At 40.7% G+C, this 23,450-nt stretch overlaps 1 protein-coding gene across 4 annotated transcripts in view; it reads right to left on the bottom strand.

Annotated features, from left to right (window-relative positions):
• Positions 1 to 23,450, bottom strand: part of UBE3C (ubiquitin protein ligase E3C) — a 130,445-nt gene that overhangs the window by 40,669 nt on the left and 66,326 nt on the right. For 3 of the 4 annotated variants that reach the window (NM_014671.3, XM_005249564.5, XM_047421072.1), the window contains 6 exons: positions 21,147 to 21,304; positions 20,767 to 20,999; positions 11,731 to 11,835; positions 7,926 to 8,013; positions 5,351 to 5,448; positions 3,163 to 3,295 (listed from right to left, as the gene is read on the bottom strand). In NM_014671.3, coding sequence (NP_055486.2) covers positions 3,163 to 3,295; positions 5,351 to 5,448; positions 7,926 to 8,013; positions 11,731 to 11,835; positions 20,767 to 20,999; positions 21,147 to 21,304 — 815 coding nt within the window. Of the gene's footprint in view, positions 1 to 3,162; positions 3,296 to 5,350; positions 5,449 to 7,925; positions 8,014 to 11,730; positions 11,836 to 20,766; positions 21,000 to 21,146; positions 21,305 to 23,450 lie in introns of those variants that run through there. The other variant, XM_047421073.1, reaches the window with a different exon arrangement.

Below are 23,450 nucleotides of genomic sequence, written 5' to 3'. Positions count from 1 at the left end.
GATGCAGTGCTGCCCTGCCGTGCCCGCCACCTCTGGGTCAGTGTCCGTGTCACCCTTGGGAATCAGGTAAACACATCTAAGCCATTTGGCTCCAGCTTGCTTTCCTGCTTCTGGAATAAATTTCCTCTGCTTCAGGAAGAAATGGTAATTCTGCCCATTAAATGAAATAAAATAAAAGTAACCAACCAACAAAAGCAGACAAGTGAGGCTCTCCAGAACTGATGACAGCAGAGTGCAGAGCCAGCTGTGCCTCACTCTCACCCAAGAGTCAATGACAGAGTGAGCTCCAGGCCCCGAGGGAACTTTGTTACCCACTTTACAATTCTTACAGCAATCCCATGAGGGAATGTGACGGTTTCTCCCAATATTCCACACTGCAACAAGGTAGTGCAGTGCAGGCTGGGAGTGCGTGGGCATCCCTGTGGAACCCCAGCCCATCTTTGCTCTCTGAGCACCAACTGCAGGAACAGCCATCAATCTCTGCATTCCACTCAGTCAACTTATGGGTAACAGGGGCTAACATGCACACTGCAGAGAATCGTTCGGAGATAAGACAACGAGCATCGTAAAGCATGGATTCACTTCAATGACTAGATGACACGTGGAATAATCACATTAGTTGATTATATGTAAATTTTTAGTCAAAAATGCACCTCAAACCATTCTCTCACAAGTAAATTAATTATTCTGAGATGATATCTGACTTTACTAATTTGCGTAGCAAAACACCACATTTTAACACATGGCTTAATCATGCTTACAGTATTTGAGTTGAGAACATTTATAAAGATTTCAAGCATTACAGTATAAACAATATGAGAAGATTCTTCCAAATCTTTTAACTTCAATGCAATTATTAGCATGCCCCTAGGGAGGTGGGTGTGATCAGTTTTTTAACAATTTTTAAAGCTTAAGGATTCATTAGGAAATTTGAGGCTTGTTATAATTGGACAGTAACATCAAAAAATCATCTACAGGGAGTAGTTTTTTCTTTTTTTTTTCTGAGATGAAGTCTCACTCTGTTGCCAGGCTGGAGTGCAGTGGTGCGATCTCGGCTCACTGCAACCTCCGCCTCCCGGGTTCATGCCATTCTCCTGCCTCAGCCTCCTGAGTAGGTGGGACTACAGGTGCCTACCACCACGCCCAGCTATTTTTTTTTGTATTTTTAGTAGAGACAGGGTTGCACCATGCTGGCCAGGCTGGTCTCGATCTCCTGACCTTGTGATCTGCCTGCCTCAGCCTCCCAAAGTGCTGGGATTACAGGCGTGAGCCACTGCGCCACGCCCAGGGAGTAGTTTTAAAGTTAATTTTAAATTGCTGGTAAGTAAGAAACGCATTCTACTCTGGCTGAAGAGCTTACAGCCCCCCCACTTGCAAGTACCCCTGACCACAGCACCCGTGCCCTCGGAGCTCCCCTCACCCACAAACTCAGCTCCTCCCCTACAGGTGCTGCTCCAGAACTGCCTCTTGGAAGGCCCTTCAAGGTTAAACATCTCACTCTTCTCTAAACACTACACGATCATTGGCAAACTCATTGTTTTGTCACATCTATTTTTTTCCCCTGGGATTCAATCACAAATTGAATAAGCATCTACTGAGCATCAGCTGTGTACACCAAATAAACAATTCCATCCCAAGCTGTAAAGACCTCCAGGGTCAAGTGGGAGAGATGAACGTGAAATCTGCTAATAAAAATACAATGTAAGAACTATTAGAATTGATTTATAAGGTACTGTGGGACCCCAAAACATCTCTCAATTAGACGATTAGTTAGATTAGGAGTCAAAGTACCTAGTCTCATCTCATTCACACCAAATACTCTGAAAACACAATCTGCTAGGCAAGACAAACCTGGCCCTGTGGAGAGGCCACAGCCTGCATGCAGACCTAAGTTTACTCGGTCTCAGCTGATGACACTCGGCATCAGAGGGCCATGGCAAGGATTCAATGGCAACGGTAAATTGTGTAAAAAAAAAAAAAAAGCTTGAAATAGAGTAAGGAAACAACTGATGTCAGCTTTCCTCCACTGTTCCAACATTATGATAAAATTAGTTCTTTATGTAAGCAATAAAAATTATTAGAAATCAGGTTTCATTTCCTTAGAAGAAAATTAAGTTGCTCCCCTAGAGGAAAAGGCAATTGTCATTTCACATTGGACAACTCATCACCTTCCAAAAGCTGGGTAAGATGATTTCATTTTTAATTTTAGATCCAGCCTAAACTTTCATTTTAATCCCCTCGGCATTGACCAACATGGAATTAATGTATTACCATAAGCACAATATTTGGAAGTTAAAACTGCTAATATATTAGAGGTTAATAGCACACGAACTTTCAAGACTGAGTATCAAATATGAACATACGACGAAACGTGCCAGTGAGCTCCAAATGCTATCACAGTATAATTCTCCTTTACTAACGGCAGTGTCATTGGAGCACACTTATCTTTTCATAAGAAACTTGGATTGCAATGGCACTTATTTTAATATGTTTAATTTGGCTTACAATTTGTGATTTCATATAAATATTTATACAAAAACGCAGAATATAAATGGCTACCATCGAGATTTTTAGAACAACAGCTTGCAAACTAAATTTTAGGGGCAGACAACAGGAGGTGGGGAACTGGTTACTTTCTTGCCCTTTAAAAATAATTAATATTTTTTAAAGGCTTCTGTTGTAGTAACTGTCAATTTTAGAAATATTACTTGATAACATGTCTCCCAAATCTGACTTGCTACACTTTTTTTTGGAGACTGGGTCTGGCTCTACTGCCAAGGCCTGAGCAGTAGCACAATCAGAGTTCGACTGCAGCCTTCACTTCCCAGGCTCAAGCCATCCTCCCGCCTCAGCCTTTTGCAGAGCAGGGACAACAGGGGCACGCTAACACATCCAGATAAGCTCACTTTTTTTGTTGTTGAGGCAGGGTCTCAGTATGTTGCCCAGGCTGGCCTCTAACTCCTGAGCACAAGCAATCCTCTCACCTCAGCCTCCCAAAGTGCTGGGATTATAGGTGTGAGCTGCCATGCCCAGCCTCACATTTCAGTTTTTAAGTCATTATGGAACAAGATGATGGACACTAATTTTTAAAGAACCACCATTTTCTAAAACAATTCCCTAGCCTCCACCTGCCAAATAATACACAGAAAGAATTATATATACCATTTTCTGGAGAAAGTTTGTCATAAGCATCTTCATAAATGTAATTTCTTCTTATTGTGACATTAATTCCATCCAGAAATGGACCATCTCCTTGAACTTCTTGCTTATCTGCATAAATCAACCTCTGAAAGATCTAACAAACAAGGAAAGCTGTAAGGTTATTAGAAACAAAAGACCTCTTACAACCTACCAAAGAATAAACTGCTAAATCTTATCTTTTGTATCTTCATAAATTCTGAAATAAATGCTAATAGTCAAGGTATCAAATCTTGATTTTTATCAATAAATGTATAGATAATATATAATGTATATCATATTTAAATATTTCTAAAGCTGCTCCTTTGCCCAGTTTAAAATAAATTTTAAAAATCCGGCCAGGCACATTGGCTCATGCCTGTAATCCCAGCTACTTGGGAGGCTGAGGCACGAGAATCTTGTGAACCCGGGAGGCAGAGGTTGCAGGCGCCACTGCACTCAGGCCTGGGTGACAGAGTGAATCTCTGTCTCAAAAATAAAATAAAATTAAAATTTAAACCCCTTGCGATAGAATATTTTCATTTATAAATCCTTTATAAAAACTTAGGTAGTGAGGAAAGAACAGCTTTGTAAAAAGCTGTATACTAACACTAGTAGAAATATCTCTGACAAAATTCAAATAATTTTTTGATGTTAAAAATCCAGTAGAGGGAGCTCAGGAATTATGTGAGTGAGTGAGTGAGTGAGTGGGAGAGAGAGAGAGAGAGAGAGTGTGTGTGTGTGTGTGTACGCACGTGCAGGGAGGGTTTAGTAAAGGGACATGAACAGCTTCAAAAGAAACTCTTTTGTTCACCATGCAAATAGAGTGTATAGGCCTAAAAAATACACTCTTGAAGCCATTACTGAAGAACGGAACCAAGTAATCTTTAGAAATTTGGTAAAAATAGTTGACAAATAAAAACAAAACATTTTAAAATTTGGAAACATATATAAACAAAGTTTTGTACATCAAAGACACCAGACAAGGAATTAAGATATTTGTCCATTTCTTTTTTTATAAAAAGTAAAGTGGCTGGGCGCGGTGGCTCATGCCTGTAATTTCAGCACTTTGGGAGGCTGGGGCAGGCAGATCACGAGGTCAGGAGATCGAGACCATCCTGGCTAACACGGCGAAACCCCGTCTCTACTGAAAATACAAAAAATTAGCCAGGCATGGTGGCACGTGCCTGTAGTCCTAGCTACTTGGGAGGCTGAAGCAGGAGAATCGCTTGAATCCGGGAGGCGGAGGTTGCAGTGAGCCAAGATCGCGCCTCTGCACTCCAGCCTGGGCGACAGAGGACACTCCATCTCAAAAAAAATAAAAAACAAAAAAAATAAAGTAGTGTTTCCAGGCCAGGTGTAGTGGCTGATGCCTGTAATCCCAGCACTTTAGCAGGTCAAGGTGAGATGGTGGCTTGCGCCCAGGAGTTTGAGGCTGCTGTGAGCTATGATCACAGCACTGCTTTCTAGCCCAGGTGACAGAGTGAGATCCTGTCTCAGAAAAAAAAAAACATCGTTTCTGATAAATAAACGTGAATGTACAGAAGCATATCTTCACAAAAAATTTGCTTTTTCAAAAACAATGCAAAGTTTCTTCCCCCCTTTGAGATAGGTTCTGGCTTTGTTGCCCAGGCTGGAGTGTACTGGCACGATCTTGGCTCACTGCAACCTCTGCCTCCTAGGCTCAAATGATCCTCCTACCTCAGCATCCCAAGTAGCTGGGACTACAGGTACATGCCACCACGCCCAACTAACTTTTGTATTCTTTGTAGAGACAGGGTTTCACTATGTTTCCCAGGCTGGTCTTAAACTCATGGGCTCGATCCACCTGCCTCGGCCTCCCAAAGTGCTGGGATTACAGGCATGAGCCACTGTACCTGGCCAAATAATGCAAAATTTAATAGAGAAAAATGACGTTAGACCCTCATTATAAGAAATCTATAGTGTTTACTGGCTTTCAATCAGTTGTAACTAAGAAAATACTTTCAGTTTGTAAAAAGAGGTATCTGGTTGGGTTTTATAAATCATTCTTAGCTATTTCAGCCTAATGAGAAAAGTATGTTATGTAATCAGCCAGGCACTAGGCACCTTTAGAGATTTCTCTGGTGGGTGTGTGTTAATTTCTTAACACTAATATGATACGTAGTGACAATAAAGAAGCCAAATTGCATACCTTTACTCGTTCCTCAAATGGAACCACAAAAGGCAACTCTGTCAGGACAGCAAGCTGTCTTTCCTCAGACACAGACAGCGGCGGGGACTCCAAACCCACTAAAACACATTTTAAAACCTTAATTAGTTCACTTGTACTTTCCCCTGCATTCCCACTGACAATTCTTAAGGTGAAGATTCTTGAAATCATCCTGATTAACTCATTTATCTAAATCCAGTTCCATGAACACATCCCCGCCTCAGGCAGACCCATGAGCCATGCACAGTGCAGGATCAGCACAGTAGCTCCCCGAACACATAACTTGATCGAATATTAAAGATGTCCTAATCAAGGACTACACTTCCACTCCAGCTGTCTAGCACGTCTCAAGTGCACAGCTAGCCCTAGCACTGGCGGTGAGGCCCGAATGCAGCCAGATCCAGCAGTGGGCGGTGCCCTGGCCACCCCCGACCACCTTCGTGCCCTTTCCCTCCTACTATGGCAACAAAGTTCCTCCCAGACCAGGCGTGTGTGCATGAGATGGTGCCTGGGAGAAGGCTGTATACACAGTAGGCCCCAGGCAGTATTTCATGAATAAACACATATCCCATTCCTTTCCAACAATAAATCGTAACTTGGCCTCTTAAAACTCATTTCAAGGAGCTGGGGATGGCAGCTTATGCCTGTAATCCCAGGCTGAGGCGAGAGCATCCCTTGAGCTCAGGAGTTTGAGAAACTGAGCATCACAGAGAGACCTTGCCTCTACGAAGAAAATTTTTTTAAAAATTAGCTGGGCATGGTGGCACGCGCCTATAGTCCCAGCTACTCAGGAGGCTGAGGTGGGAGAACTGCCTGAGACTGCAGAGTTCAAGGCTGCAGTGAGCTGTGATTGCACCATTGCACTCCAGCCTGGTGACACACTGAGACCCTGCCTCAAAAAAGAAAGAAAGAAAAAAAAAAAGTAAAGTGTTAGGTGAAGGTATCTTAGACATCATATCAAAAGCACAATTTCATTAAAGAAAAAAATGGTAAATGGGATTCTATCAAAATTTAAAACTTCTCCTCCTTGAAAGACACTGCTAAGAAAAGAAAAAGACAAGCCACAGATTGGGACAAAATATTTGCAAATCACATATCTGATAAACTATATCCAGAATAGCTTTATAACTCTCAAAATTCAATAACTAAAAAACATGTTCACAGGCAGTGTGCAGTGGCTCACACCTGTAATCGTAGTACTTTGGGAGGCCAAGGTGGGAAGATCCCTTGAGCCCAGGAGTTAAAGGCCAGCCTGGGCAACACATGGAGATTCCATCTCTACAAAAAAATTAAAAAATTGGCCAGGTGTGGTGGCACACGCCTGTGGTCACAACTACTTTGGAAGCTACGGCAGGAAGATCGCTGAAGCCCAGGAAGTCAAGGCTGCAGTGAGCCGTGATTGCGCCTCTGCACTCCAGCCTGAGCACACAGTGAGACCCTGTCTCCAAAAAAACAAAAAACAACCAAGAAAACACAACAAAAAAACAAATTCATGAAAAAGATGCTGAATATCATTAGTCGGCTGGTAGACACAAATTAAAACCACAAGAAGATACCATTTCCCACCTTTTACAATGGCCAAATTTTTTTTTTTTAGACAGTCTTATACTGTCACCCAGGCTGGAGTGCAGTGGTGTGATCTTGGTTCACTGCAACCTCCACCTCCTGGGTTCAAGCGATTCTCCTGCCTCAGCCTCCCAAGTAGCTGAGATTACAGGTGCCCGCCACTACGCTCAGCTAGTTTTTTGTATTTTTAGTAGAGACGGGGTTTCACTATGTTGGTCAGGCTGGTCTTGAACTCCTGACCTGATGATCCGCCCACCTCGGCCTCCTAAAGTGCTGGGGATTACAGGCGAGAGCCACCACGCCTGGCCCATAGAATTTTTTTTTTTTAAATGACAACTGTAAGTGCTGATGAGGACTGGGAACAACAGAGGCTCTCATTCATTGCTGGTCTGAATGCAAAGCCGTGCAGCCACCCTGGAACACAGTTCTGCAGCTTCTCATCAAGTTAAACATAAACTTGCCAAATGTCTCAGGATTCTTACTCCCAGTGAAACTTACTCCATGTCAAACAAAATGTATGTTCACAGAAAAACCTGTACATAGATGTTTATAGCAGCTGTACTCGTATTCCCAGAGACAGAAAAAATAACCAAATGTCTTTCAACCAATGAATGGATTCACAAACTGTGGTGCATCCCCACACTGGAATACTGCTGAGCAACAGAGGGAACAATCAACCCACACAGCACCCTCAAATGCAGCGTGCTGACCAAAAGGAGCCAGGAGCAGACTACACAGCATGGTTCCCTTTGGAGGCCTTTTGCAAAAGGCAAAGTGACAGGACAAAACAGAAATGGGTGGCTGCTGAAGAGGTGGCCGCAATGGAGCTAGAGGCAATTTTGTGGGTGATGAAACTTTTCTACATGGTAGCTCCTGCTGGGAGTGACATGGCTGTATAAGTTTATGAAAAATAACAGATCTGTAGATTAAAGGAGTGAATTTGACAGCATGTAATTCATACCTCAGTAACCCTGTGTCCTAGAGAACTCACCGTCCAGGGTGGACTGCAGCGGGCCTATCCTCCCCATCCGCCGGAACCTCCACACATGTCTGGATGCTGGCACATAGAGCTGAGTGACCTGTCGGGGGCAATCCTGGTTCAGAACTCCCCTGTGCTCTAGCACACACTTTGACCTGATCACACTTGAACAGAATTGGTGCTGGACATTTCTCTACCGTGGGCTGGGCCCTCTCTCTGACCTCATACCTTCATGTCCCCTTTTGCTTTACCTTTTCAGGTCCTCTCTCATGCTAGCTGTCCTTTCATACTTTTACAGTTAACTATGTTTTCTAATATGCCCCAAAGAAATCTCTAATTGTTTTATTTGATGGTGCATAATATCTAAACATAGTAAAATAATATAATTGCTTTATGAAGCAAAATAGATCACTTTAAAAATTAAGTTATTATTATCAAAAATTCACTTTCTAGTTTTTTTTTCAATTTGGTTGAGGCAGTATTCAAATAAAACAGACACAGTATATTTTCTCAAGTTATTTTTCATCTGTCAGTTCCTCTCATCCCTTATTTTTGGTCCTTACAATTTTTTATTTTTTGATACACGGTCTCACTCTGTCACCCAGGCTGGAATGCAGTGGTGCGACCTCAGCCCACTGCGACCTCCACCTTCTGGTTTCAAGCGATCCTCCCACCTCAGCCTCCTGAGTAGCTGGGACTACAGGTGTATACCATCACGCCTGGTTAATTTTTGTACTTTTTGTAGAGATGGGGTTTTGCTATCTTGCCCAGACTGGTCTTGAACTCCTGAGCTTAAGCAAGCCACCTGCCTCAGCATCCCAAAGTGCCCGGGTCACAGGCGTGAGCCACCACACCCGGCTGGCCCTTGCAATTTTTTTTTTTTTTTTAGATGGAGTCTCATTCACTCTGTTACCCAGGATAAAGTGCAGTGGCCTGATCTTGGCTCACTGCAACCTCTGCCTCCCAGGTTCAAGGGATTCTCCTGCCTCAGGCTCCCAAGTAGCTGGGATTACAGGCACATGCCACTATGCCTGGCTAACTTTTGTATTTTTAGCAGAGATGGGGTTTCACCATGTTGGCCAGGGTGGTCTCGAACTGACCTCAGGTGATCCACATACTTCGGTCTCCCAAAGTGCTGGGATTACAGATGTGAGCCTCCGTGCCCAGCCACCCTTGCAATTTTTAATGAAGAAACTTTCATCCTGTAAAATTTCCCATAATCTAGATTTTGCTAATTGCACCCTCATGGTGTTGTTAAAGATGTACTTCTAACCCCTATGTTTCCTGTAATTTTGTAGTTAGATGTAGAGGTTCCACCACATTTAGATTTAACTTTCTGGCGAGAACGTTTCCTAGGTGGTGTGGGATGCTCGATCACTGAGAGGCCCCATCTCTGCTTTTCACTGCAGAAGTGAAACCTACTTCAAGTGTGGGTGTGTGCACCGTACTACCAGCTGGTGATGAGATAAGGGACTTGTGCCAAAATATAAATCAATTAAATCACTAAGCACACTGCTGGGTTCAGCTGACATTTTCCCATCGCACAACTTTCTGGAGTAAGGAAGAGGTGCAGCTATTTGCATTCTGGGACCAGACCCTCCTCTCCTGGGAGGCCAACACACCATCTCAGACCAGCAGACCCTAGACATGCGCTGCACCTGGAGTGGCACCGCCCTGGTCATCTCCTTCACCAGAGCCTGCAACAGGCTGATTCTAGTTTGCAAAAATCCTTTTCATGTAGTATTGGCTGGAATACTTCTATGCAAAAGATCACACACTATCTGTTTTGCCTGAGGTACAGTTTATAAATGAAAGGTGGGTTAAATGCTTGAGTACTTCTTTTTTTCAAAACAGCATTCAAAATAATGAGATGGTTCCTTTGCATCCTACAAATATGATGACGAAGGGTTTTGTTAGCACCCTTGCGAACTCAGAGTTAGCTGTTTTCATGAATGCTTCAAGTTTCTGCCCATGACCAGCTAGAGACAGGCTCCTAACCCTGTCTCCCAGCCCCAGCCACCCTGCAATAGCTTCCTCGCTCTCCAGCATGACAGAGCACTCCACACCCATCTTGCAGGGTCTTCCCCAGACCTGGAGCCAAGCACCCTGCCAGGACTGCTTCTTTTGCTGTGAAGCAACCCCAGCCTGGGCCCCAGAACTGTTCACTGCTGGGGGATCTGCCACCATTGCTCTACCTTGTCAGTGGGCAGAGTTAGATGCAACAGGCTTAACTCACAAATATCTTATGAGGACATAGTCATGCTTATAAAATTGTTCTGAAACACTCCTGTTTTCTCTCCTCGAATATTTCTGTGACATGGTTTTTTTTTTTTATTTTTTGAGACGGAATCTTGCTCTGTCGCCCAGGCTGGAGTGCAGTGGCGTGATCTCAGCTTACTGCAACCTCCGCATCCCAGGTTCAAGCGATTCTCCTGCCTCAGCCTCAGTCCCAAGTAGCTGGGACTATAGGCGCACACCACCGTGCCTGGCTAATTTTTTTATTTTAGTAGAGACTGGGTTTGACCATGTTGCCCAGGCTGGTCGCAAACTCCTAAGCTCAGGCAATCCACTTGCCTTGGCCTCCCAAAGTGCTGGGATTACAGGCATGAGCCACCGCGCCCAGCCGACATGGTTTCTTTTATACCCTCCACCACTCCATCTCCTACTCCCAAGATTCTGAAATGAATCCAGTTACGACTTTTTCTCAAGAACTGAAAATACCTTATGTCCCTCTGTTAACATCACTTATATTTTTTGTTTTTTCTGGAGACAGAATCTCGCTCTGTCACCCAGGCTGCAGTGCAGTGGCACGATCTTGGCTCACTGCAACCTCCGCCTCCAGGGCACAAGGGATTCTCATACCTTAGCCTCCTGAGTAGCTGGGACTACAGGGGGACACTTACCATGCCCGGCTAATATTTGTATTTTCTTTCATTTTTCTTTCTTTTTTTGAGACGGAATTTCGCTCTTATCACCCAGGCTGGAGTGCAATGGCACAGTCTCAGCTCACTGCAACCTCTGTCTCCCAGGTTCAAGTGATTCTCCTGCCTTAGCCTCCCGAGTAGCTGGGATTACAGGCGTCTGCCACCACGCCCGGCTGATTTTTGTATTTTCAATAGAGATACAGGGTTTCGCCATGTTGGCCAGGCTGGTCTCAAACTCCTGGCTTTAAGTGATCTGCCCGTCGGCTTCCCCAAGTGCTGGGATTACAGGCGTGAGCCACCGCGCCTGGCCACTTAAATTTTTTACTAACGTATCATACTACTGAATCTGCTTTAGATGTAGGTATTAGTAATATTCAAATTTGTCTCTGTTCTTTTAGAAAATCAAGGATAAAGGACTGGTGTGGTGGCTTACGTCTGTAATCCCAGCACTTTGGGAGGCCAAGGTAGGAAGATCACTTCAGGCTGGGAGTTTGAGACCACCACGGGCAAACATAGCAAGATTCCGTCTCAAAAAAAAAAAATCACAAAAATTAGGTATAAGATCTATCTCTTTTAAATACTAGACATATATTAATACTAATAAAAGCAAAATATTTTTCAACCTCACAAAGAATCATTAAGGCTTTAATATAATCTCAGGTTAAAAAGGAAAATTGAGGATTAATAACTCAGAATATCATTTTAAGTCAATGATACTGCTATATGTTCCATTAAGAAGTTGGCGTAAGAGTTAGTAATAAGGTTTATCATTACTATTTAGTCATATGAGTCATAAAATAAATAATTTTAAAGTGCTTAATTCTTCTCTCCAGAAAGACACAAGCTGAATGTATTTTTTAATGATAAATATTAAAAAGATCTTTCAATAACACCTTATCTGCTTTAATATCTTCTTGTTCTGACAGCCAGTGGTTTGGAGGACAAAAATTTCTCCTCGTGTCTCTGGACTTCAACATTTTCACTAGATTGGTGATAACCTGAAAAGAAAGAACATATCCGCGTCACACACGTGAGCTCGGCAGCACAATGCACAGTGAGCCATACATTCACTCGAGGAGGAGCACACAGCGGTGGTGCAGGAACCCAGGTCGAGCCGGACACCAAACCCGCTCACAGAAAAGGGCTTCTTTTTGCCATCACAATAATGTATACAAAGCAGTTATCTGCCAACAAATATGTGCAGAACAACACAAACACATGTACATGATAATTTTTAAGTTACAACGGAGGTGGCGATTAAGCTTTGAAACACAAATTTGGCGGGAGCTACATGATAAGAACCCATGAACACAAAGAAGGAAAGAACAGACACTGGGATCTACTTGAAGGGGGAGGGTGGGAGGAGGGAGAGGGCAGAGAAGATGACTACTGGGGACCGAGCTTAATACCTGAGTGATCTAAGGATGCGTACAACAAACTCCGATGACATGTTTATCTATGTAACAAAACTTCACATGTACCCCCAAACCTAAAATATTAAAAAAAAAAAAACCCACGAATCTGGAAATGTCTTAGCTCATCTGAGTTCTAATGAAAGATACCTCTAAGTGGTGCAATTTTGTACAACTTTTTCCTGAAAGAGTATTTCTGAGTTTTCTGAGAAATAATGTACTAACGGCACTAGGGGAAAAAAGCAGCACCCCAGATATCACTGTCACATCTCCCAAAGAGAAAACAATTGCAGCACTTGCCTCACGTAAGCAAATGGAGTCAGATCTGTGATCTTAACTCCAGAAAAATCGAGTCTGATCTCCTTGATAACCTTTCCAAACAGGCTGGCCTGGACACACTTCACTATGTCATCACAGCTTAGTATTTTATTATGGTTTTAAAAAATTACAATATTCTTTCAGAACAGTTCCTCTCTGGTTGTTGTGCAGTGAGTTCCTCACAAATAGAATCCAACTAGCCACCTTGGAACCTAGCAGGTACTAAATGACTGACTTGAGATCAATAATTGTAAATTTTATAATACATGATTAAAGAGATATAATAGCATTACTTTAAAAAGACCTGAAGTTCTCTACCGAATAGAAATGCATTTTGTAATAAACAAAGATAAACCAAAATTGTAAATCCAACATTTTAAATGTCTACAACCAGGATTGGATCATATAACTACTACAGAGCTCAAGACGGCGTTTTCTGAAAAAGTCGGCCAGGCCTGTATGCATGCTGCCTCTAATTAAAGACAACGGAAATCACCACAGAAAAAACAAAATCAGGACAATCTGATTTATAATATACCCACCGGCTAGATTAGAAATAACATTTCTAATATATATCTATTATATATATACTAATTTATATAATTTATATTATAGTTATAAATTGTATAATATATACTATGTATCTAGTATATATAATATATAAATTTATAATATATCTAATCTATACTGGATATATTATACATTATAAAGATCACACAATCAATTGTTGAGATTTCCCTTTAAAATTCCATAATTTAGCATTTACATACAATGAAATACAAATGCTTATTTTATGAAATGCAAATCCAAGGCATGCAGGGATACCAGAAATTCTGTGTGCCCAAGAAAAAAGGGGAAGGGTACTTGGGTTGATATCTCAGGCCACTACAATGTGGACACCCCTTGAATGACCTACCCGTGGACAGAGAAAAAGTGTTATTCGAGCAATTTGGTCATGCAGATAAAACTGCATAGTAAAAACCCACTCAAGATCAAAGATGCACCTTTATAAGTGGTGGGTATTTCGTGCCAATTTAGAAGTGGCGATTCTCTTGTGGCATTTTAAAACCTATCACAACGCTATGGAAATACCGTCCTTCTTCAACGAGTGGAAATGTTTAGTGAACTAATCAGGGTAAACTGGAGTCAGCTATTCCTTGACCCTTGACTCTATGGTGTTGCTCAGGGGCTTAGCTGCACATACAACATCTTACAATTAATGGTTTCTTATGCAGCCTAGGCAGCCTGGGGAGAGCCTCATTATTAGTTCTGTCTGGTTAACTGTTTGGCTGAAACAAAGTACTGTCATTGACCTAATACACTAATTCTTGAAAGTCATTCATTTTACTCTTCAAAAGCAAAGATGAAATCTCAATGAGCTATGCTAATTACATGTGCTATCCTTGTATGGGATAAATTCAGGTAGTCCACACAGAGCACACACCCTTCTAAAAGGAACAGAAGTACAATCTTTTTGTATGAAGATGTTCGTGTCTGGTCTTTCCATTTTTGTGACCAATTAAATTGATACTTTAAATAAATCCAGATTTAATAGTTACCATGCTGAAATTAGCCCTTTCATAATCACCCCAACCGTTAACAAAGGTCATCCTTTCTGACATATTTACATATTTAATTGCATCATCCCATGGAATCCTGGGGTCCCCATGAATTTATCATCCCCAAGGAAACTTAGCTTTATTGAGGGGGTAACTTGCTCCAGGTCAGGCAACGGAAAGATCAGGTCTGCCTAACTCCTAGATATCTATTTCTATTCAATCTCTGTTCATAAGAACATATATTTTCTACAGATTACAAACATTATCAAATTATATGAGACAATTAAGTTCTCATTTACATTCTTCTACTAAATTATTATACAATTAAATGTTAAAAAAATTTCAATATAGTGTATCCTCTTTCATATTTCCTATCCTAAATATGAAAAAAGAAGTAATCACATGTTACCAATATAACATGCCAGTACCATGGATCCTTGGTCAATCAAAAAAAGGCGGTGGAGGGAGATGGGGAGAAAGGAGGAGGAAAGGAGAAGGTAAAAAAGTGAGTCCAGCCAAGGGAGTTATGTTAAGGATGGGATATCAAGATAGACGGCACTGTGGTAATGGATGGTTTAATAAACATCAAATAATATGTTTATATTTATTTATATCAAATAATACATTTTTAGTAGAAGTATGTCCAAAATATTGCTTTCTTTAAAGTATGTCCACAATATTGCATGGGACATAACTACATTTTTTAAAGTAATTGTGATTTATCCGTAATTCAATTTTAACTAGGTGACCTGTCTTTTTATTTGCTAAATATGGCATGACTAGTCCCGGACCAATTCCCAAAATACTTATTTAGAATATCAAATACCAAACCTTAAAATTCAACTGAGAACATTTTTCCCTCCTTCATATCAACTATTTTTCTCCTAAGTTTTAATGAAAAATATAAACATGAAAATTTGACTGGATCCATTTTGTGATCTCGAAACACCTTAACACATTCCTTTTTTCCACATTCACTTTCAGAATCACAAACTCAACTGCTCTACAAGTATCTAGCACCAAAAAGGGAAAGTTTGTAGAGGCAACCATGCCAAATCACATAAAGTGACTAAATGTGCTCAAAGTGAGTTATCTGCAGGGTTAGGCCTGTGGCTCTTAACCTTTGCTGCATTTTAGAATCACCTGGAGCACTAAGACAAGCCCACCACAGGCGTGCCGCCATCACTGACTCCAATTCAATTAGTCTGAGGTGGAGCCAGTCGAGTTTTCAACTGCTCCCCCAGATGACTCTGATAGGTAGTTACGACTTGAGAACCAGTGTGGTAAGTTATATGAAGTAAGATAGCAAACACTGGAACAACTAGCTGTATCTAGCTGAATATACAAATTTTAGTGGATTTTAAGTTCTGAAATACAATAGCATTATGTCCATCTGATGTGTTAACTCTTGTGCCTCCTCTCATGTTCTTCCACGCCAGATCAAAACGTTACATTAAATAAATGCAGAAACTAATACATTATTCAAGTACTAATAAATTTATTCAGAAATGCACACACTGCCGGGCGTGGTGGCTCACACCTGTAATCCTAGCATTTTGGGAGGCCGAGGCAGGCAGATCACTCGAGCCTAGGAGTTCAAGACCAGCCTGGGTAACATGGTGAAACCCTATCTCTACAAAAAATACAAAAATTAGCCGGGTGTGGTGGCACATGCCTGTAGTCCCAGCTACTCAGGAGGCCGAGGTGAAAGAATCACTTGAGCCTGGGGGGTGGAGGTTGCAGTGAGATCGAGCCACTGTACTCCAGCTTGGGCAACAGAACGAAACCCTGTCTCAAAAAGAAAAACAAAAAACAAAAAAACCCCACAAAGGTACACAACTGTTACACATGCTCTATTATGTGCCATTTGAATGAAAAATAGGTGATGCTGTAAGCAGGTTTCCCTTAACCCCAATATTAAAAAGATCAAGTAGATAACTGCTTAGAAACATACCAACTCCTTATAAAAATCACACTTGACAACTGTTCAAGGTAAACATTGTAAATTAACAGGCACTGTTTTCACAAGATCGCTATGTTTGAGAGTTCATGGCAATGATGATCATAAGAAAATCTTGCTTAACTGACCTTGGGGAAATATTCTTACGCACTAGCTATATTATCACAAATGTATATATAAATTAGATGACAAGGCTATTAATCCTAAATTGTGACATTTCTGTATGGAGATGACGGATATTTAGATATAGTATTGCAACCAAAAAATTAAGTACATATAGTCCAAGTTTTGAAGGGCAACTGAAAGACTAAATTGCATCATAACATAAAATAAAAGTATCTTTTTTATCTTAAATGTGATATGTAAAATCTGGTAACTAAAACCAAACAACTGAGTTAATTTTTTTTTTTCTTTCTACAGTAGATCTAGTCCTGAAACCAGATGAGTTAGTTCTTTAAAAAGCAAAATACAAAGCATACTTAGCATACAATTTCCAGGTTCTGAAGTGCAATAAATGTGCAATGTGGGAAATACATCAAATGAGAATGGATTTTTACAATTTGACTTCATAAGAAGAATATATAAAAGTAACATGTCAGAAAAAGCTCTAAGAACATGACCTCGTTGGAAAACAACCGTTTTCCTCAAGTGAGTCAAGTGCCAGATGACGCAGCAGCTGGTGCTTCTCTCCTGTGTGCTTCCACAGGACCGGCCTCTGTGGTTTGCTGTTTCCCACTGTCATTAGCTGAATGCATGTCTCCTTCACTACGTGGTGATACTGCAGGAACAGGCACCCTGTGTGAATTCATTTATGATCCCTTAGCATAGAGCTGTGTCACTATGGGTGGGATGAATACTGTGAGTGTTCAAATAACTGAGAATAAAACACTCTAACCTATGAAAGTCATGAAGTATCTGGTATGCACTGCTGCTGTCAAGGGTTAACCAAATTTTATATAGCCCTTAGTTACCACTTGTTAACCCATTTATGCCTAGTGTTCCATTACTGGAACGCTAAGCTTGTGGGATTTATATTCTACTGCTCAAGGTCATTGCCAAGGCCTGATTTTTCACACAAAAAATTCGCAACCTCTGGCACAAACGGGTTAAAAACTGGAGTATTTTGAAAAACAGTATTCTTCAGCACATATTTAAAACACTATAAAATTACTGCATATAGCATCCACTTTAGTAGTCAAAAAACAAAAACAAAATCAATCAAAATCTTCAATAACAGAAAAGGATAAGGCACAGCGCTACAAGCTTTGGATCTCTTGGTTGTAACATAGTCAAATGGTCGCATGTTAGGATTATATTAACAGGGCACTGCTGTTGCTTTATTACTTTTTAAAAATAGCTTTTTGGAACTGAAAAAATACAACTTAACCACTAAGGAAGTAAAAAAATCACTCATAGTATGGCTCTCTCTCTCTCTCTCTCTCTCTCTCCAGACATATGGATAATGAGGGCATGGGAACCTTCCTCCTCATTCCCTGCCACTTCCTCCTGTTTCCCTATCACAGGAGGAAACTCCTGTTAAGTTTGGTGGATGCACACAGACATCTCAAAACAGGATTTCCTATCTCATCAAGCTAAAGTAATTATAGCTCTAAATTACACTTCAAGAGGAGTTTATAAATTTGATAAATGCATAAACTGTTTTAGCAGTGTCAAGACAGGGCTTAGAAAGTGACCTCAATTCTTACAGTGACAAAGAAAGATGACTCTATCCACTTAAAATTCTATGCTCTGTGACCAGCCAGCAGAGCCTCTCACACAAATGACTTTGGGAGGACCATGATAGGACTGAAAAATGAAAATGGTCGGTGTTGAAGGAGTCAGGTCTCATCGTTTGCAATTCTGTCAAAATCAATGGAAGGCAGGAGATCATGGGCTAAACGCTTCTGCGTTCTTTGGTTGATTCTACCTCGAATTCTTCAACTCAAATTTGGCACAACAATAATATGAAAAATGCTGATACAATTTGTATTCTTTTCAGAAGGGGAGTGTAGAATAGCAGCTGGTTCTACCATCATATACATGACCTCATCTGTAAAACAAATTATAGTATCTTTCTCACAGAACTATTGTATTAAATGAATATATGCAAAACTCTTAGAATACTGCCTAAAACACAGTTAACTACAGAGGTGTAAGTTCATACAACTTCATAATAGAGATAGTATTTTCTTAAAAGAACAGCTAACAGCAGCTGATTACTCAAAAATTATGCAGTGATTTTTATTTTGGGGGCTCAGCTCAATAGCAGGTAGCATAAAATGGTTTGGGGGACAGGTGACCAAAGAACAGAAATCCTTTAAAAAAAAAAAGGTCTTTAAACAATTCTAAACTCAAAAGGTCTTACAACAACTTGATTTCAAACCTAAAACAATCACCACCACCAACAAAAAAAAGGTAAATTTTCACCCTCTTTTTTTTTGGAGAGAGAGTCACCCTACCGCCCAGGCTGGAGTGCAGTGGCGCTATCTCGGCTGACTGCAACCTCTGCCTCCCGGGTTCTAGCAATTCTCCTGCCCCAGCCTCCCTAGTAGCTGGGATTACAGGCGTACATCACGCCCAGCTAATTTTTTGTATCTTTAGTAGAGATGGGGTTTCACCATCTTGGCCAGGCTGGTCTCAAACTCCTGACCTCGTGATCCACCCGCCTTGGCCTCCCAAAGTGCTGGGATTATAGGCGTGAGCCACCACACCCGGCCTTGCCCTAACTCTTAAAACTTTCAATGATGAATAAAGTGGCAGGGAGTCATTTTGAGGCATAAAAAAATTCTGTACAAACTTTTCATTTAACGCTTAACCAAAACAAAATAAGGCCAGGGTGGAAAATATCTTATATGGCATTATTAAGTTCAGAGATTTCTACATACTAAAGATAAGCCTGTCATGGAAATTATGAAACTCTCAACAGATGCCATAAAACAGTGAAATTATCTGATATCATACACAACACCTGATATTGCACATCATGGAAAGCTTTATTAACAAAGACCCCAGGGTTTAATCAAATATTGAAAGGAAAACAAATATGCTACCGTTAACACCCACATCCAGGAAAAGCTTATGTAAGAATTATAAGTTTTAAATAGGTGAGACTGCTTATTTTTTAACATAGAAAAATTGCAAATTTGTCAATCTTTAAGAAAGGATATAGTAAAGGCTTACCATGTGACCGTCCCAGTTTACTTAGGAATACAGAAATAGGTAATTAAAATAAATTGTGCAAACATATATTACATCAATCTGCCCAAATTATAAATTCAACGATGCATTAGGACTGTATTCAGTGCAATCAAAACATTATCAGTTACGGCTGCTGCTGCTAATGCTCATGCTCCTAAGAGAAATGTGTTGTAAAACCAGGCAGAACGGGCTGGAGAGAGACTCTCGTGGACTTGGAGGATGAATAAGCATTCCTTAATTAGCCCATCAGGTTAAGTGCAAGCATTAATGGGCCCTTCCTAAAGTCTAGCTTGACATCTTTCTCCAAACATGGCCAAGAAGAAAGTTCCATTAGCAATATTAATACAAGCTTAGTTGATCATTTTCATTCAATTAACTTCTTTCAATTAAATAGATAGCTTGACAAAAGCAGTGATAAAAGACCCAAAGGGACAGCTGATGACTCGAACTGAACATTAGTGTGCGAGAGGTCGCTGGTATTAAACGGACTGTAAATCTAGCATTCAATTTGGAAAATGCATTTCTTCTGCTCTCACTCCTTTAATGAGCAATTTTAGCTGACTAGATGTGTTTGCTGCAGAAATTTCATGGGAAGTCAAGCACCCTTTTCCTTTTCTTTTTTTCCATCCCAACAGTTACATTCTCACTGGTGGTGGTTTCCTGCCAACATTCCAGCCACAGTAACTCAAAACTTCACTTTCTGGTTAAGAACGAAGATATGTTAAAATAATTTATATACAACTAGCATTAAAAATTAATGACCTACTTTACGTTGTTAATCAATTTTTGAAAGGTTTGAAAAAACAATAAAATCTAAGAAATATTTAGTGAAAAATAAAAACATTTTAAAAACTGTATTTATATTTCATCGTGTCACAGTTAAGTAGTTAGGGCCACATAGAAAAGATGCATGTAACAAGGTTTAAAAACATGGTTTTAAGTGAGGCAAATGTAAATTAAAATGAAAGTAATTTTAGTTAATTAAATTACCTTAATTAATCAAAAGTACTAAAATTACTTTTCTTAATTAAAAAGGTATATAGGCCAGCTGCAGTGGCTCACGCCTATAATCCCAGCACTATGGGAGGCAGAAGCAGGAGGAATCCATGAGGCCAGGAATTTGAGACCAGCCTGGGTAACACAGTGAGACTCTGTCTCTACAAAAAAACTAATAAATTAGCTGGGTGTGGTGGCATGTGCCAGTAGCCCCAGCTACTCAGGAGGCTGAGGTGAGAGGATTGCTTGATCCCAGGAGTTCAAGGCTGCAGTGGAGTATGATGGTGTCATTGCACTCCAGCCTGGGAGACACATCAAGTCCATGTATCAAAAAAAAAAAAAAAAAAAAAAAAAAAAAAAAAAAAAGTCTTGCAAATTAAAACATGTCTGAAACAAACCTGCATTTTTATTCCTCTGCAACGAGTCAAGACAAAAGTTTGTACATTTTTCAATGTCAGTAAACAAAAAAATACATATACTCTATACCTTAAATAACTGAATCCATCTTTTCTGTTCCATCTGTATGCATTGTTGCATTTCAGAGCTAGTAGTAACTCCAATACTCTGAAATGCTGTAATATATTCTTCTCGAACTTCTGGCTTGGTTTCTGGATAAGCCAACTTGATGATCCCCAGGCATGCATCTCGAAGGCATCGAGACAACATTATCAGCTCTTCTAAAGTAAAAGGCATCATTGATGATTGTCTTTGACCTACAACTAAAAAACACAATCCAGTTTTCTATTGTTTCTTTTTCCATCTTTTAACACACACTGAAAGACTTAAAAAGCTTAAAACTTTTCTACTGTCTATGAAAACTGATGGGCCAAGTGGCCAGCAGCAAACTGGTTTCTCAAAATCCTTACCTTCTATGGGATCACCGAAGAATTCGTTATCATGTATGGAAATTAGTGAATGACTAAACAAGGAGCTAAAAAGATAAAAGAGTGGGATGATTCGACTAGAATCTTCAAAAGACATAGGAGAACCCCTGGATATCACCTGAAGCAACGGTACCATAGACCTTGAATTAAAGAAAAGAAGAAAAAAACCAGTCACTTTAAAATTAGTCTTAGTTTGGGAACTAATTAAAACATAACATCAAACAAATATAATCAGGGAAAGTAACATTTGCATTAGGAATTAAACTATTTAAAGGCAAGGTAAAGTCACCATGGCAATGCAGGTTAATAAACAGCATAGATTAATACAAAAAATAGCATACCAACCCATTAATCTTCACTAAGGTTTCTGCTACCTGTACCAACTAGATAATGAAGTTACTAAGAGTAAGCCAGTCGTTCCCAGACTAAGGCCCTAAGAAGAGCTCTAATAAGGCCACTATTCAAGACACACATGTACTTTACTCTTATGAGGAAACCATCCCCCTTCCCTTCTACTCAACATATTTAATAAAGGCAAATCATTCTGGTCTCAGGAAAAATTTATCCAGCGACTTAACTTTTGGTAACGTTGAAAGCTATTCAATATTGAAGCCAAACTGGAACCTCAAGAAACAAAGTTTCCAGTTCTCTATGGTGGCCTTGCTCCCACTGTCCACTTTATTCACCAGCTCCCATCCTGCTCCTGCTTTCACAGCAGCTAAGGTGGTCTTTACTCAGCAGCCTTTCACCCATCAAGAGCTATGATATATTAAATTAATTAGCCAGGTGTGGTGATAGGTGCCTGTAGTCCTTCCTAGTTACATAGGAGGCTGAGGCAGGAGAATGGCTTGAGCCCAGGAGGCAGAGGTTGCCATGAGCTGAGATTGCGCCACTGCACTCCAGCCTGGGGAACAGAGCCAGACTCTGTTTCAAAGAAGTTTAAAATATTAAGGAAAAAAAAAAAGAAAAGAAAAAAGGCTGGGTATGGTGGCTCACGCCTGTAATCCCAGCACTCTGGGAGGCCGAGGTGGGTGGATCACAAGGTCAAGAGTTCGAGACCAGCCTGGCCAACATGGTGAAACCCCATCTCTACTAAAGATACAAAAAATTAGCTGGGTGTGGTGGCACGTGCCTGTAATCCCAGCTACTTGGGAGGCTGAGGCAGGGGAATCACTTGAACCCGAGCAGCGGAGGTTGCAGTGAGCCGAGATCGTGCCATTGCACTCCAGCCTGGGCAACAGGGCGAGACTCCGTTTCCAAAAAAAATAAATAAATAAAAAAGAGCTACGATATATTAAATTGACTTATTTCACCTAGAACTTCTTCCTTTTCTCTCGTTTTTAAGTCTGGTTCCTTGTCTTATGGAACTTTTAGCTAATAGGCTCACCTGCAAGCTCTTTCTATAAAGTCCATGGTCCCCTCTACCAAGTCAAATCAATCACAGGTTAACAGACACTGTGAGCAAGATCACTCTCTTATCTCCCCAAATATCCATTTCCACAAAACTACAGGTATATATTAGATGAGATGTAACCAGGAGTCAGGATCTACAAATCATGTATGAAAGCAAAGCAGAAGGTAAGGCCACTTGTTCTAATTAGCGGGGCCGTAAGGAGCTTGGCTGAGCCACCTGGAGCTTCTGAGTCTCCATGGTGCATGGTTCAGGGGAGGGCACTGCCATCATCAACCGCTTTGAGAAAAGGAACCCATATGTGCACCTGAAACTGTGTTCCCACAGAGAAGATACACTATGTCCACATGCTACACAACCTGAGCATACATGATCCATGTTTGCAGTTGTGATACTCTGCATTTAGCACTATGCTGAACAGATTCATCAATGAATGAATGCCATTCTTCCAAAATTTAAACATTGTGGGACATTCAAAAAGGGACAAAGCACAATTGTCCTACCTCATTGCCAAAGCCAGGATGACACAAAAAGGTTGTTTATATGGAGGATAAAAAAGGCACAGGGCTGCCTTAACTGGACAGGGGTGGCTTCTTTCAACAGCCCTGCCTATGACAGCTGGAGCCCACTCCTGCGTCTTGATGAGCCTGCTTTCCACTGTTATCCCCGACAAGAATCCTTGTACTTGTACTGTTATCCCTGACAAGAATCATCACCACCAACACATCATCAGTTATGCACACATATTGCAGGATGCATAAAATTCTTATATTGGGTCCAAAAAAAAAAGGGACAGGGTAATTAACCAACAAAAACTTATTTGTCCTCTTCAAACCCCCTGTGAAACAAGCAAAAGGAATGCATCATTTTTACTT

The sequence above is a fragment of the Homo sapiens genome, chromosome 7 (assembly GCF_000001405.40).
Source record: "Homo sapiens chromosome 7, GRCh38.p14 Primary Assembly".
NCBI classification, from domain to species: domain Eukaryota; kingdom Metazoa; phylum Chordata; class Mammalia; order Primates; family Hominidae; genus Homo; species Homo sapiens.
This window is presented reverse-complemented; position numbering and strand designations above follow the sequence as displayed.